Raw genomic sequence first — 14,788 nt, 5'->3', positions numbered from 1 at the left:
CAATAACAGATCCTAGTATTCCCACCCCCCAATCAAAATAATTCAAGGGATAATCAAGGGTTTCTTCAAAAGAAGCAAGGTTTTGGTAAGGGATGAAGACCCTATATACTTGCTAGCTGCATTGTGGCAATAGCTTTTTTTTTTCCCCCAGAAGGAATCTCACTCGGTTGCCCAGGCTGGAGTGCAGTGGCAGGACCTCAGCTCAATGCAACCTCCATCTCCCGGGTTCAAGCTATTCTCCTGCCTCAGCCTTTGGAGCAGCTGGGACTACAGGCACGTGCCACCACACCCGGCTAATTTTTTGTATTTTTAGTAGAGATGGGGTTTCACTGTGTTAGCCAGGATGGTCTTGATCTCCTGACCTTGTGATCCACCTGCCTCGGCCTCCCAAAGTGTTGGGATTACAGGCCTGAGCCACCAGCGCCCGGCCTGGAAACAGCTTTTTATACAGATATTTATATGCACCAGGCTGGGTGTGGTGGCTCATGCCTATAATCCCAGCACTTTTAAGAGGCCCAGCCTCTTAAAGTGCTTTCAAGACCAGCCTGGCCAACATGGCGAAACCCTGTCTCTAAAAAAAAAAAGTATTCTTTACTCACCTGCTCCTTAAATTGCTTCTGGGACAAGCAGTCAATTAGGTCCACACAGCCCAGAAGACAACCTGACGGATAGTCATTAGGAAATTCCACATCTGAATCAGGAATAACAAAAATATTGAATAAATTTCCTTCTTTGTGATCTTGGAACTCAGGAATCTGTTTTCAATTCTGAACAAACATTAATAACTTTTTCCATTATCTATTTGTAGACATAAGGAAAACAGTGAAATTTACTTGGCACAACTGTTTGCATTTTAGCAAAAAAATCTAGTGAGTGGCTGGCTTAGTCCACTATCCACATGTTAAGCTAGAAAATTTTTCCTTTGCCCTCATACCATCAAAGTTCAAGGACCCCACAAATTCATCCTAATACAAATCGATTCTACTATACGCCATTGGATCAGATTGGAGTTTGGCAGTGATGAGTTTTGGAAGCAAAGTAAGGCAGTTACAGGTGACAAGAAAAAAAAAACATCAAAATGTGGTTAAAACCATAAGAATGAATGTCTTTAAAACAAGCCAGTCCATATCAATAGGAATAGAAGTGTGCTTTTAGGCCGGGCTCAGTAGCTCACACCTATAACCCCAGCACTTTTGGAGGCCAAGGCAGGCAGATCACTTGAGGTCAGGAGTTCAAGACCAGCCTGGCCAACATGGTGAAACCCTGTCTCTACTAAAAATACAAAAAATTAGCTGGGTGTGGTGGCATGCGCCTGTGGTCCCAGCTACTCGGAAGGCTGAGGCAGGAGAATCACTTGAACCTGGAAGGCGGAAGTTGCAGTGAGGAGAAATGGCGCCACTGCACTCCAGTCTGGTTACAGAACGAGACTCTGTCTCAAAAAAAAATAAAAAAGAAAAGTGCTTTTAAGGAAGCATGAACTTTTTATTCCTAGTGATTCTTTAAGCCTTGTTTCTTAAAAACCTTTAAAGATGGTTGTGTAGTTGTCCTTTTATTCTACCCTCAAAACAACTGTATGAGCTGGATAACACAAAGGAAAAACAGGATGCCCAAAGGTCAGAAGTCTTTTTAAGGATCCAAAGTTAGTATTCTTGGGGTGATTCCCAAAATACGTTGCTTAAATCAATCAACTTTGATTTGTACAAATCCAATAGTAGGTGTCTATTTAGGCCACTCTCAATGAAAATTCCTATTTGTGGTTGTTCTTCCCAATGTAAGGATCTCAGAGTTTACACTAGTCATTTTACCTTTAGAGTAAAGAAGATGATTTTCTCAGATAAAAAAATTAAGACTAGTTGATTTCTTGTGTTGGAAATTGATATTTTTATTTGCACTGTTTTGACAGATTAATGCTTTGAACGCTGTCAATGATTTACCACTAAACAAACAAACATATACAAAGATTAAAAGTCTCTTTTAACAAAGAAAAAGCCAAAGAAAGAAGGAAGTGAAAGAAGATGAACGTCAATGACTTCTCTCCATAAAGTAAAATTGAAAGGAGAATATGCGGCTGTTACCTTTCCCACGAAGAAGACGATATGTAGCCTGGAGTTCTGAGACTTCTTGAGGGGAGGGTTTTTTAGCTGTGGCTGCTATCCAAAGTCGTCCTCTGTGGGGGGTGTACCAGGATCTGCCCTCCACCCTTAAACAAATAGAAATTTAGTGGGAAGGATATAAATTCTAGTTTCCTGGAATATCCCATAATATATAACAAATCCTATAGCAAATTATCCAGTTGAACCAAGAGGTCTATAGATGATGCCTTCTCAAGAGCAGTATCTTTTGTCAAAAACACTTTTCTCTCACAATACTTTTCACTTGAGGATGAACTCTGTCCACTAATTTCTCCTCCATCAGAATAGCGACAAGTCATCTCTCTCAACTCTTGACTGCTTTTCACCTGATCCCTACAACTCAGATTTGGAACCCTGACCAGTCTTGGTGCTTCTCCAATACAAATCCTATATTTTCAAGGCATATAAATCATATTAGAGATATGGAAATCCTTGCCCTTGAGTCAAAGGCTAACCTTTCCCTAGAAGATTAGTTGATTTGTTCTCCAACCTGACAGAAAAATCCTCATCTACACACAACTCCCAAGAATGTTACTTTTTATTTATTTAAAATAATTTAAGTAAATAAAAACGCTTATCTTTACTCTTCAATTAGAACCACACCCATTTGCTTTTTTTTTTTTTTTTTTTTTTTTTTGAGACGGAGTCTCGCTCTGTTGCCAGACTGGAGAGCAGTGGCGCGACCTCGGCTCACTGCAACCTCCGCCTCCTGGGTTCAAGCGATTCTCCTGCCTCAGCCTCTTGAGTAGCTGGGACTACACGCACGTGCCACCACACCCAGCTAATTTCTGTATTTTTAGTAGAGATGGGGTTTCACCATGTTAGGATGGTCTCGATCTCTTGACCTTGTGATCTGCCCACCTCGGCCTCCCAAAGTGCTGGGATTACAGGCATGAGCCACCATGCCCGGCTCCATTTGCATTTTTAAATTGTATTTGGGGTTTTCTTTGAGGATTATTAAACAACTTGTGGACTAGTTTGAAAAAACCTCTAAAGAGAATAACAGAATGTATTCAGGAGAATTTAATTGCTACTTTCCAAGGATTACAAAAAGATGTTTCTCTTTCCCCTCCCACCAAATTAAATAAAGTACCTTGATAATATATCCCTCTTATCCCATTCTTATAATGGAAAATGGGGTCATGAATTTTTCATATCCTTGGTTTCCCAATATAGATAAATTGGAAGAGTGCCAGGCACACAGTAGGTGCACGATATGGGGAATGAACCAATGTATATCTTCCCTCTAGGCCAAATAACCTGAAGAATTACTGGGAAAATGGTCCCACAAATGTGGCAAAACCACCTACTTTATTTCTGTGGGATTAAAATAAAGTGACTGTGTACTAGATGCTGCTCATTCTTTCGCTTCTGTGAGAAAATTTGAATAACAGATCCAAATAGGATGAGAGAAATGTAAACACTCTGATTCCCTTAGCAGAAGGCAAGTTGTTTAGTTTTCTACTTTGGAAAAGCAAGACACCTAAATTGCAGAAAACTCAATGAGAAGAACAGACATCTAAGGTTTTGATCATCCTGGAGCAGAAGCGGATTCCCATGCACTTGTTCTAATGGCGTTTACAGACATGAACTATGAAACAATTAGGAGCCAAAGCAAGGAAACCTGACCTTCAAGAGGGGAGAAAAGGTGTAGTGCACCTTAACACAATAGAGAAATGGCAGCTAATAGTGAAACTACCAAAGTAGAAATGATTATGCCTAAATGCTGATAATCATTTGCTTTTAAGTAAAGTAGAGAAACGTCTGAAGCCTGAACAGTAGAGGGGAAAGAGCACTCTGAAAACCAGAAGTCTAGTTCCATCTCTGTCATCACCTAGCTTCATATTTCAGGGCAATCCATTTTACCTTTGCCTGCTTCAGTATCCTCATTTGTCAAAGACTATAATAATACTGGCCTAATCTACAGTCACATCTTGCTTAACAATGGGGATATGTCCTGAGAAATGTGTCTTTAGGCAATTTCATTGGCTGAACTTACACAAACCTAGATAGTATAACCTACTACACACCTAGGCTATGGTATAGCCTCTTGCTCTTTTTTTTTTTTTTGAGACTGAGTCTCACTCTATCACCCAGGCAATCTCGGCTCACTCCAGCCTCTGTCTCCTGGGTTCAAGCAATTATCCTGCCTCAGCCTCCCGAGTAGCTAGAATTATAGGCATGCACCACCATGCTCCGCTAATTTTTGTTATTTTTAGTAGAGATGGGGTTTCGCCATGTTGGCTAGGATGGTCTTGAACTCCTGAACTCAGGTGATCTACCCACCTTGACCTCCCAAAGTGCTGGGATTATAGGCGTGAGCCACCGTGCCCGGCAGCCTCTTATTCTTAAGTTACAAGCTGGTACAGCATGTTACTGTACAGAATACTGTAGGCAGCTGGAGCACAGTGGTTAACTATTTGCGTATGTAAATACATCTAGACATAGAAAAGGTACAGTAAAGGCTGAGCATGGTGGCTCATGTCTGTAATCCCAGCACTTTGGGAAGTGGAGGCGGGTGGATCACTTGAGGTCAGGAGTTTGAGACCAGCCTGGCCAACAGGGCAAAACCTCATCTCTTCTAAAAATACAAAAATTAGCCGGGCATGGTGGTGCATGTCTGTAATCCCAGCTACTCGAGAGGCTGAGGCTGGAGAATGCTTTAACCTGGAAGGTGGAGGTTGCAGCAAGCCGAGATCATGCCACTGCACTCCAGCCTGGGCAACAGAGCGAGATCCTGTCTTAAAAAAAAAAAATGAAAGAAAGAAAGAAAATAAAAGGTAGCGTAAAAATATAGTATTATAATTTTTTTTTTTTCAGATGGAGTCTCACTCTGTCGCCCAGGCTGGAGTGCAATGATGCAATCTTGGCTCACTGCAACCTCCACCTCCCGGGTTCAAGAAATTCTCCTGCCTCAGCCTCTTGAGTAGCTGGGATTACAGGCACACACCACCACGCCTGGCTAATTTTTATATTTTTAGTAGAAACAGGGTTTCACCATGACCTTGTGATCCGCCCACCTCGGCCTCCTAAAGTGCTGGGATTACAGGCATGAGCCACCGTGACCGGCCGGTATTCTAATCTTATGGGACCACTGTTGTACATGTGTTCCATTGCTGATTGAAAAGTCGTTATGCAGCACATGCGTGTATTTCATAGAGCTACTGCCTTGAAAACTAAAATTCTATTTAAATATAAGGTATTTTTACTGTTATGAGTTGGGACATTGCCAGGCATATAAAATTCTAATAGAAAAAAATAAGAAATGGCCTGGCACGGTGGCTCACGCCTATAATCCCAGCACTTTGAGAGGCCGAGGCGGGCAGATCACAAGATCAGGAGATCGAGACCATCCTGACTAACACGGTGAAACACCATCTCTAGTAAAAACACACACACATACACAAATTAGCTGGGCATGGTGGCGGGCGCCCGTAGTCCCAGCTACTCAGGAGGCTGAGGCAGGAGAAAGGTGTGAACCTGGGAGGCGGAGCTTGCAGTGAGCTGAGATCACGCCACTGCACTCCAGCTAGGGCGACAGAGCAAGACTTCATTTCAAAAAAAAAAAAGAAATAAGAAGCAAAAGACATATGTTGTAATGATAAGTGAAAGAAGAAAAACACAAACATATATATCATGCTCTCACCATTTAACAATTTACACAAGAAAAATAGAAACAGCCGGGCGCATTGGCTCACACCTGTAATCCCAGCACTTTGGGAGGCTGAGGTGGTCAGATCACCTGAGTTCGGGAGTTTGAGACCAGCCTGACCAACATGGAGAAACCTCGTCTCTACTAAAAATACAAAAATAGCCAGGCGTGGTGGCACATGCGTGTGAACCCAGCTACTCAGGAGGCTGAGGCAGGAGAATGGCTTGAACCCGGGAGGTGGAGGTTGCAGTGAGCTGATAACGCACCATTGCACTCCAGCCTGGGAAACAAGAGCAAAACTTCGTCTCAAAAAAAAAAAAAAAGAAAGAAAGAAGCCAGGCACAGTGGCTCACACCTATAATCCCAGCAGTTTGGGAGGCCAAGGTGGGCGAATCACGATGTTAGGAGTTCAAGACCAGCCTGGCCAACATGGTGAAACCTCATCTCTACTAAAAATACAAAAATTAACCAGGTGTGGTGGCGGGCGCCTGTGATCCCAGCTACTCGGGAGGCTGAGGCTGTAGAATTGCTTGAACCTGGGAGGCAGAGGTTGCAGTGAGCCGAGATCAGGCCACTGCACTCTAGCCTGGGTGACAGAGCAAGACTCTGTCTCAAAAAAAAGAAAGATAGAAACACTCCAAAATGCTAATAACAGCGGTTTCTTGGTGTGGGATTATAGGTAATCTTTCTTTTTCTAGCTACTTTTCTGTGCTTTACAGTTTTCCATTTACATGGATAATAAAAGCCAAGAAAAACACTATTTTTAAAAACTGAATTAAGAAACAAACACACCAGGCGCGGTGGTTCACGTCTGTAATCCCAGCACTTTGGGAGGCCGAGGCGGGCGGATCACGAGGTCAGGAGATCGAGACCAGCCTGGCTAACAAGGTGAAACCCCGTCTCTACTAAAAATACAAAAAATTAACCAGGTGTGGTGGCGGGCGCCTGTAGTCCCAGCTACCTGGGAGGCTGAGGCAGGAGAATGGCGTGAACCTGGGAGGCGGAGGTTGCAGTGAGCCGAGACCACGCCACTGCACTCCAGCCTGGTGACAGAGCAAGACTCGGTCTTTAAAAAAAAAGAAAAGAAAAGAAAAGAAAAAAACACAAGACACCACGGAATAGTAAGCTATTAAATATTATTATCAGTAACAGGTGTAACTCAGCTGTATAATACCTCTACTTATCTCAATTTCCCCTACTTTTGTAGAAAAGCATTTTGTAATAAAATAGTTTCTCAATATTATTAGCCAGATTAATAGTTAGATATATGGACAGGAAAATAAAATCAGTTATGCTGGTATCTTAATAAGTAAATAGGCATCAAAACTATGTTTCAAATAGGATCAAATTATTAAGGTTGCTTAGTAGTATATTCCAAAGCAAAGCCAAGAGAAGATTTTTCAATAGATTTCCTTCCAAAGATGAAAAAATTAGTCTTCTATCTTTGTTATGACTTTCTTAGCCTTTTTATGCTCAGTTTGTTTAAGCTATTCAGTACAAAAACTACTACTATATTTGTCAATTTAAATGTTTTGAAATTAATTTTAAAATATACTGCTACCAAGTCAGTAACATGAATATGTTGTTCAAAGTTCTATTTATTGAAGAGTATTATAAATCATCACTAGATTGAGGAAAACTAATTCCAATTCATATTTCTAAATTAAATTTATGTCACTCTAAGATCTTCCACTGCCCAGATTCATTTTTATTCTTACCTTTTAATCCCTCTGACAAGCAGAGAAGCCCAGGGCTGATGTACAGAGAGGCACCAGCCACCATCAAAGCCTTCCTGAAATTCTTGATCCTGGATTCGCAACTGGTGCTGAAATGAGTTGAACTCTAGTCCAAATCCTGAAGAACGGAAAGCCTTCTTCTGTGAGGCTGCACCTGTGTGGTCAACCCACTACACAGAAAAACAAACATACAGTTCTATCTTATAAGGCAAGAATCTGGGGTAGGTAGACAAAATGATGCGAATGCTAATAATGAGGAAATCATATTGGGAACATTTTTCTTAGAAAAATATATCCCAGGCCGGGCATCGTGGCTCACGCCTGTAATCCCAGCACTTTGAGAGGCCAAGGCGGGTGGATCACTTGAGGTCAGGAGTTCTAGGCCAGTCTGGCTAACATGGTGAAACCCCATCTCTACTAAAACTACAAAAATTAGCTGGGCGTGGTGGCAGGTGCCTATAATCCCAGCTACTCATGAGGCAGAGGCAGGAGAATCATTTGAACCCAGGAGGTGGAGGTTGCAATGAGCCAAGATTGTGCCACTGCACTCCAGCCTGGGCAAGAGAGACTCTGTCTCAGAACAACAACAACAACAACAACAAATGAAAAATAATCCCATCTTTGTCTGCAATAAGGCCAAAAGGGTAGAGATAGTATACATTCAGTAGAAGTCTCAGGTATGATAACAAGGCCCATCTTAAAGAATAATTAGAATGTTGAAATCTCCATACAATGCTTACTAATTCCAGCAACAGCACAAATATCACACCAAAAGAGCTATAATTATTTCCAATTTATACTTAATGATCCATACTTGGTTCTGGATAATTTTTCAATAGAATTCTGTGAGCTAAATGAAAGTTCAACATTTTGGTCCACAATTCTGCATGTGCTTAGGGGCAGTGTCACATGCTGGCACCATGACAAAGCCAAACAGATGTTGTCAGGTCAGAGGCAGCAGTTCTGACTACTGGATGCATGAAATATTCTCTTACCCTGAAATGAAGAACTTGTCTCCTGAAAGAGAGGGTGGAGGACTACTAAAACAGGGCTCCCATCATATAAAAAGAATAGAGAATTATAAGGTACAGGTAATTACAGGAGAGTGAAGAGTCTTGGCAACAGTTCAGACAGAGAATGGCAAAGGTTAATGTTTCTTCCAGAGCAACGATACCATGTCCTCCAAAATTAAAATTTAAAAATAAAGGCAATTAGCATGATGATATTTGGGGTTATCTTTTTTAAAAAATTAATAATTTATAAAGCTGAACACAGTGAAGCATGCCTGTAGCTTCACTAGTTACTCAGGAGGTGAGGCAGGAGGATCACTTGAGCCCATAAGTTCAAGGCCAGCCTGGGCAACATGGTGAGGTCCTGTGTCTTTAAAAATAATAATAAGGGCCAGGCATGATGGCCGATGTCTGTAATCCCAGCACTTAAGGAGGCCAAGGCAGGAGGATCGCTTGAGCCCAGAAGTTTAAGACCAACCTGGGCAACAAGGCGAAACTCCTTCTCTACAAAAAAATATACAAATTAGTAAGGTATGATGGCACGTGGCTACTGTAGTCTGAGCCACTTGAGAAGCTGAGATGGGAGGATCTCTCGAGCCTGGGAGGTGGAGGCTGCAGTGAGCTATGATCATACCACTGCACTCTAGCCTGGATGACAGAACAATATCCTGTCTCAAAAATAAATAAAAATGAACATAAAATAACTTATAGGAAAAAACTTCTAGTGGTAGTCGAAACCCTAGGCATTTAACCCCTAAAGATTTCAGTTTTTCAAACTGGAAAAGGATGAAGTTGGACTAAATAAATTTCTAAGGATCTTTCTGCCATACAATTTTATGATTCTTGTCAATTGTGGCATATCTTAAAAATACACATTTTTACAAATTAAATACACATTTATTGAGTACTTAACTGTGAAAAGCACATTAACTAGGGAGACATAAAATATGAAAAAGATACGGTTCTTGCTTGCAAGGAACTTAAAGCCTAGTGGAAGACAGACACATAAATAACTATTCAAAACATAAGGCAGAATTGACTACATACTAAATAGGAGATAGAAGTTTTTACAGAGGACCAAAGAGGAAAAAGAATTGATCCATTATAGGGTAAATAAATAATTTCTTTAAAAAAAATTTTTTTTGAGACACTGTCTTGCTCTGTTGCCCAGGCTGGTCTTGACCTCCTGGCTTCAAGTGATCCTCCTTCCTCAGCCTCCCAAAATGCTAGGATTACAGACGTGAGCCACCACACCTGGCTGGAAATAAATAATTTCATAAAATGTTGGTATGTGAACAATCTTGAGGCCCAAATTATTTTTTCTATTTCTACTACAGCTGTTCCCTCTAATTACACAGCCACTTTCCTAAATTAATTCCTCATTATCTTTTGATAATACTATTAAAGAATCTGCCAGCAGGTCTCTTCATCTACATTTTTAGTCTTTATGATGATAATTATTTTTTTTTAGAGATGGGGTCTCACTGTGTCATCCAGGCTGGAGTGTGGTGGCTTAATCATAGCTCACTGCAGCCTCCAACTCCTGGTCTCAAGTGATCCTCCCACCTCAGCTTCCCAAGTATCTGGGACTATAGATGTGTATCACTACATCTCAGGCCCGGCTCCCACTTTTGGTCTTTAAATAACTCTCTACTGCTCCACTAGTGCTTTAATACTAATTTGGGCTGGCATCATCTTTCCATGGTGCTATTGCAATGACTACCTTGGCAATTTCTCAGCTTCTAATCTTACTTACTCTTCCCTCCAATCCATTCTCTACGTAGGCATGGAAGCCATGCCAATCTTCTGTTAAAATTCTTCCAGAACCCTTCTTTGCCTACTTTAGGGCAAAACCTAAACTCATTAGCATAAGACAAAAAATCTTTCATGATCAGGTGTTGCTTACTGTACTGGGTTGAGTAGTATCCCCCCAAAATCAATGTCCACGTTCATGGAATCTGTGAATACAACCTTATTTGGAAATAATCTTTACAGGTGTAATCAGTTTAAGATGAGGTTATATTAGATTATAGTAGGCCCTAAATCCAATGACTTGTATCCTTGTAAGAGGAGAGAGCACACAGTGACAGAGACACACATGGGGAAGAAGTCCATGTGAAGACAGAGGCAGAGATTAGAGTAATGAGCTACAAGGCAAAAGACACCTAGAGCCACCAGAATCTTAAAGAGGTAAGTAAGCATTCTCCTGTAAAGCCTTCAGAGGGAATGTAGTCTTTCCAACACCTTGATTTCGGGCTTTTAGCCTCCAGGTATGGGATAATAAATTTCTGTTGTTTAGGTCACCTAATTTGTGGTACTTTGTTACAGCAGCCCTAGGAAACTAATACACTTATCAGTCCATAACAATAGTTAATTACTTGTGATTCCCCAAACCTGCAATGCTCTCACGCTGCTGAGCCTTTGTATGTGTTGTACCTTCTGCCTGGAAATTCCCTCTCCAGATTTGTGTGCTTGGAAATTCCTATATCTATATCCCATGTTTTTGTGTACACATGCCTTTGTTCCTACAATTCATTCTGCCTGGAATTTTTTTCTCCACCATTCCCAAACATATATTTTTCAAAAATATTTGCTTTTTTTTTTTTGAGACAGGGTCTCACTCTGTCACCCAGGCTGGAGTGCAGTGGCATGATCATAGCTCACTGCAACCTCTGCCTCCTGGGCTCAGGTGATTCTCCCGACTCAGCCTCCTAAGTAGCTGGGACTACAGGCACCACGCCACCATGGCCAGCTAATTTTTGTATTTTTAGTAGAGACGGGGTTTTGCCATGTTGCTCAGGCTGGTCTAGAACTCCCAGGCTCAAGCAATCTGCCCACCTCAGCCTCCCAAAGTGCGCCTGGTGAATATTTACTTTTAATGAATGCCAGCTTCCCTATAAAACCCATTGATAGCTGGGCACTTTGGGAGGTTGAGGCAGGTAGATCACGAGGTCAGGAGATCTAGACCATCCTGGCTAACACGGTGAAACCCTGTCTCTATTAAAAAATACAAAAAATTCGCTGGGCGTGGTAGCGGGCACCTGTAGTCCCAGCTACTCAGGAGGCTGAAGCAGGAGAATAGCTTGAACCTGGGAGGCGGAGGTTGCAGTGACCCGAGATCATGCCACTGCACTCCAGCCTGGGCAACAGAGTGAGACTCCATCTCAAAAAAAAAAAAAAAAAAAAAAGAGAAAGAGCATTAACAAAAGAACCATGGAATTTCTGTCTAAATTTCTATAGTACTTAACAAAACCCTTTCTTGGGAAGTACTTGGAAGATAAAACAAGTCAATTTGTCAGAAGTACTGCAATAAAAATGGAAAAAATGTGGGCCAGAGAATAAGGTTGGCAGGTGTGTTGAGAGAGCTGATTGGTACAGGTGTATTGAGAGAGCTGATTGGTATCTGAAGTCTATGAAATAGACATACTTAAAAGAAGGCAAAATTGGGGCCAAACTTCTTATTAACAGTTAGAGCAAAGGTCCACTAACCTGGGGAGGGGACTGGTACATGTTGGGATTTACCAGAACTCCCAAAGGCTCTTCAGAAGATCTATCCAATTTGGTCAGTGGCTGGTTCAAGGTTCCATTGGCAATGGCCTGTATTGTCTCATCTAGTCTGTGATAATAAACCAAAAGGATGCAACAATTGGTAATGTTCTATGCTCAGAATGCTTACCACCAACATAAAATGCTTTAATAGTAATAAAATTTGGAATATAAAGAGGAGTCTATGGATGACCTTCCCTACTCCCCACTCCAACTTCCTTCTCACACCAAAAACCCTAAGGAATATGAGTTAATGAATATTGCAGAATGGCCAGGCACAGTGGCTCACTCCTGTAATTCCAGGACTTTGGGAGGCCAAGGAGGGCGGATCACAAGGTCAAGGGATCGAGACCATCCTGGCCAACATGGTGAAACCCCATCTCTACTAAAAATACAAAAATTAGCTGAGCATGGTAGCACACGCCTGTAGTCCCAGCTACTCGGGAGGCTGAGGCAGGAGAATCACTTGAAACTGCGGAGGAGGTTGCAATGAGCCGAGATCGTGCCACTGCACTCCAGCCTGGGCAATAGAGTGAGACTGTCTCAAAAAAATAAAAAAAAATAAAAATAAATAAAATAAAAGTTCCAGAATACCAAGAAAATACATAGGGCACGCTACAGTCATTCACCTGCTCAACAAGATCATTAAACATGCCAAGACCAGAAAAGCTGCCTAGAGGCCAGGAGTGGTGGCTCGTGCCTGTAATTCCAACACTATCATAGGCCAAAGAGGGCGGATCACTTGAGGCCAGGAGTTTGAGACCAGCTTGGGCAACATAGAGAGACCCTGGTTCTACAAAAAATAAATTAGCTGGGCATGGTGGCTCACACCTGTAGTTCTAGCTACTTGGGAGGATGAGATGGGAGGATCACTTGAGCCCAGGAGTTCAAGGCGCCACTGCCCTCCAGCTTGGGCAATAGTCAATAAGGCCCTGTCACAAAAAGAAAAAAAAAAGTTGCCTAGGAATACCCTGACCCACAGAAGAGTATTCTATGGCAGCTCATCTTCGCAATACAACCTATACAGTTATTCCTCTGTCTGCTCAGCAGTCCTTTCTCCACTCCTTCTTGCTAGTCTGCATTCTATCTTTGCTTGAAGGCTCAGAAGTTATAAAGAGGTACCCTACTGGCCCAGAACAAAAATGCTTAATCCTTTCTCTAAGGTCCTATAGTACCCACTATCTAAACAATCATTGGATACATCCCCTGTTATCCCATGCCTATGATGTTGGCATTGGATATCTGGCTCTAAACCTATAAAAGAATGTGATGATTTTCATTTAAAGATTGTGGAAACCTACTGGTTAGTTAGTAAGAGATCATAAGCCCTGAAGGAACCCTATCTTAATTCATTCTATAGCTCTACAGTACTTGCTACTCTATTCAATACTCCTGTTGGATGCTTGACAAAACGTTTGTGGATAACAATAATAATTGTGAGGCACAACATAATGAAAAGCTTCAACTAACAGGAAAGGCTAAACTTGACCTTCAATTCAATTCAATATATGTTTGTTAGGAATACCTCATATATAAGGCAGCTTAAAAGGTGGGGAAGACATTGTTCCTGCCTTCAAGAGGCTTTTTTTTTTTTTTTAAAGAGGCTTTCAATCCAAGTGGCAGATTTAAGAAAGCCGTATAGATGATGAATCATACATGAGGGGATGTAATAATTACTATGAAACAGGCACAATCCATTTAGTGGTTATTATTCCATCATCCAACATGTTGTATCATGTAGGTTCAAGGGAGAGGTAGGTATGTGAAATGCAAAGAATGGAGGAGGAATTTCCAAACCAAGGAAAAATCAGAAACAAAGGCCTGAAGCTTTTAAAAAGTATAAGAATTTGTATGATGAGGTAAGTCTAAAATAGCGTGGGGAGAGTGAGGTCTGAAAGAGAGGAATAAATTTGACACAGTAAAATGATAAGTATATCCAGAACTCTAGAATCTCTATAAAAGAAATAGTAAAAAAGCAAATGAATACATTTTCAGAACACTCAAACTTACTAACATACAACTAAAGCAAAGGAATGTGAATAAAAATTAGAATGAAATACTATTTTTCATGTCTGAAAATGGCAATTTTTTTAAAAAATCTTTGACAAGGGAAAAGGAAATTGTTATCTTGATATGTGGTGTGTAGCTGATAAGTCAAAAGTATGCACAATTTAGTGCCGGGCGCAGTGGTTCACGCCTGTATCCCAGCACTTTGGGAGGCCGAGGCGGGTGGATCACGAGGTCAGGAGATTGAGACCATCCTGGCTAACACGGTGAAACCCTGTCTCTACTAAAACTACAAAAAAAATTAGCCAGGCGTGGTGGCGGGCGTTGGTAGTCCCAGCTACTTGGGAGGCTGAGTCAGGAGAATGGCGTGAATCTGGGAGGCGGAGCTTGCAGTGAGCCAAGATCGCGCCACTGCACTCCAGCCTGGGCAACAGAGCGAGACTTTGTCTCAAAAAAAAAAAACAGTATGCACAATTTAAATATTCTCTTCTAAAAAGTTGTAACTTTTTTGTTTATGTATTTATGTTAATAGACTTTTTTTTAAGGTGGGGTCTCAATATGTTGCCCAGGCTGGTCTTGAACTCCTGGCCTCAAGTGATCCTCCCACCTTGGCCTCCCAAAGTGCTGAAATTACAGGTGTGAGCCACCGCACCCAGCCTTAGGCTTTATTTTTTAGAGCAGTTTTAGGTTCAGAGCAAAATTGAG

At 41.5% G+C, this 14,788-nt stretch overlaps 1 protein-coding gene across 3 annotated transcripts in view; it reads right to left on the bottom strand.

Annotated features, from left to right (window-relative positions):
* Positions 1 to 14,788, bottom strand: part of TRIP4 (thyroid hormone receptor interactor 4) — a 67,468-nt gene that overhangs the window by 29,073 nt on the left and 23,607 nt on the right. For 2 of the 3 annotated variants that reach the window (NM_001321924.2, NM_016213.5), the window contains exons 8-11: positions 12,020 to 12,146; positions 7,503 to 7,690; positions 2,076 to 2,200; positions 600 to 691 (exon numbers count right to left, since the gene is read on the bottom strand). In NM_001321924.2, the coding sequence (NP_001308853.1) occupies positions 600 to 691; positions 2,076 to 2,200; positions 7,503 to 7,690; positions 12,020 to 12,146 (532 nt within the window). The remainder of the gene's footprint in view (positions 1 to 599; positions 692 to 2,075; positions 2,201 to 7,502; positions 7,691 to 12,019; positions 12,147 to 14,788) is intronic. The other variant, NR_135855.2, reaches the window with a different exon arrangement.

Source organism: Homo sapiens, chromosome 15, assembly GCF_000001405.40.
Source record: "Homo sapiens chromosome 15, GRCh38.p14 Primary Assembly".
NCBI lineage: Eukaryota > Metazoa > Chordata > Mammalia > Primates > Hominidae > Homo > Homo sapiens.
The sequence above is the reverse complement of the archived record's forward strand: the minus strand, read 5'-3'. Positions and strand labels throughout refer to the sequence as shown.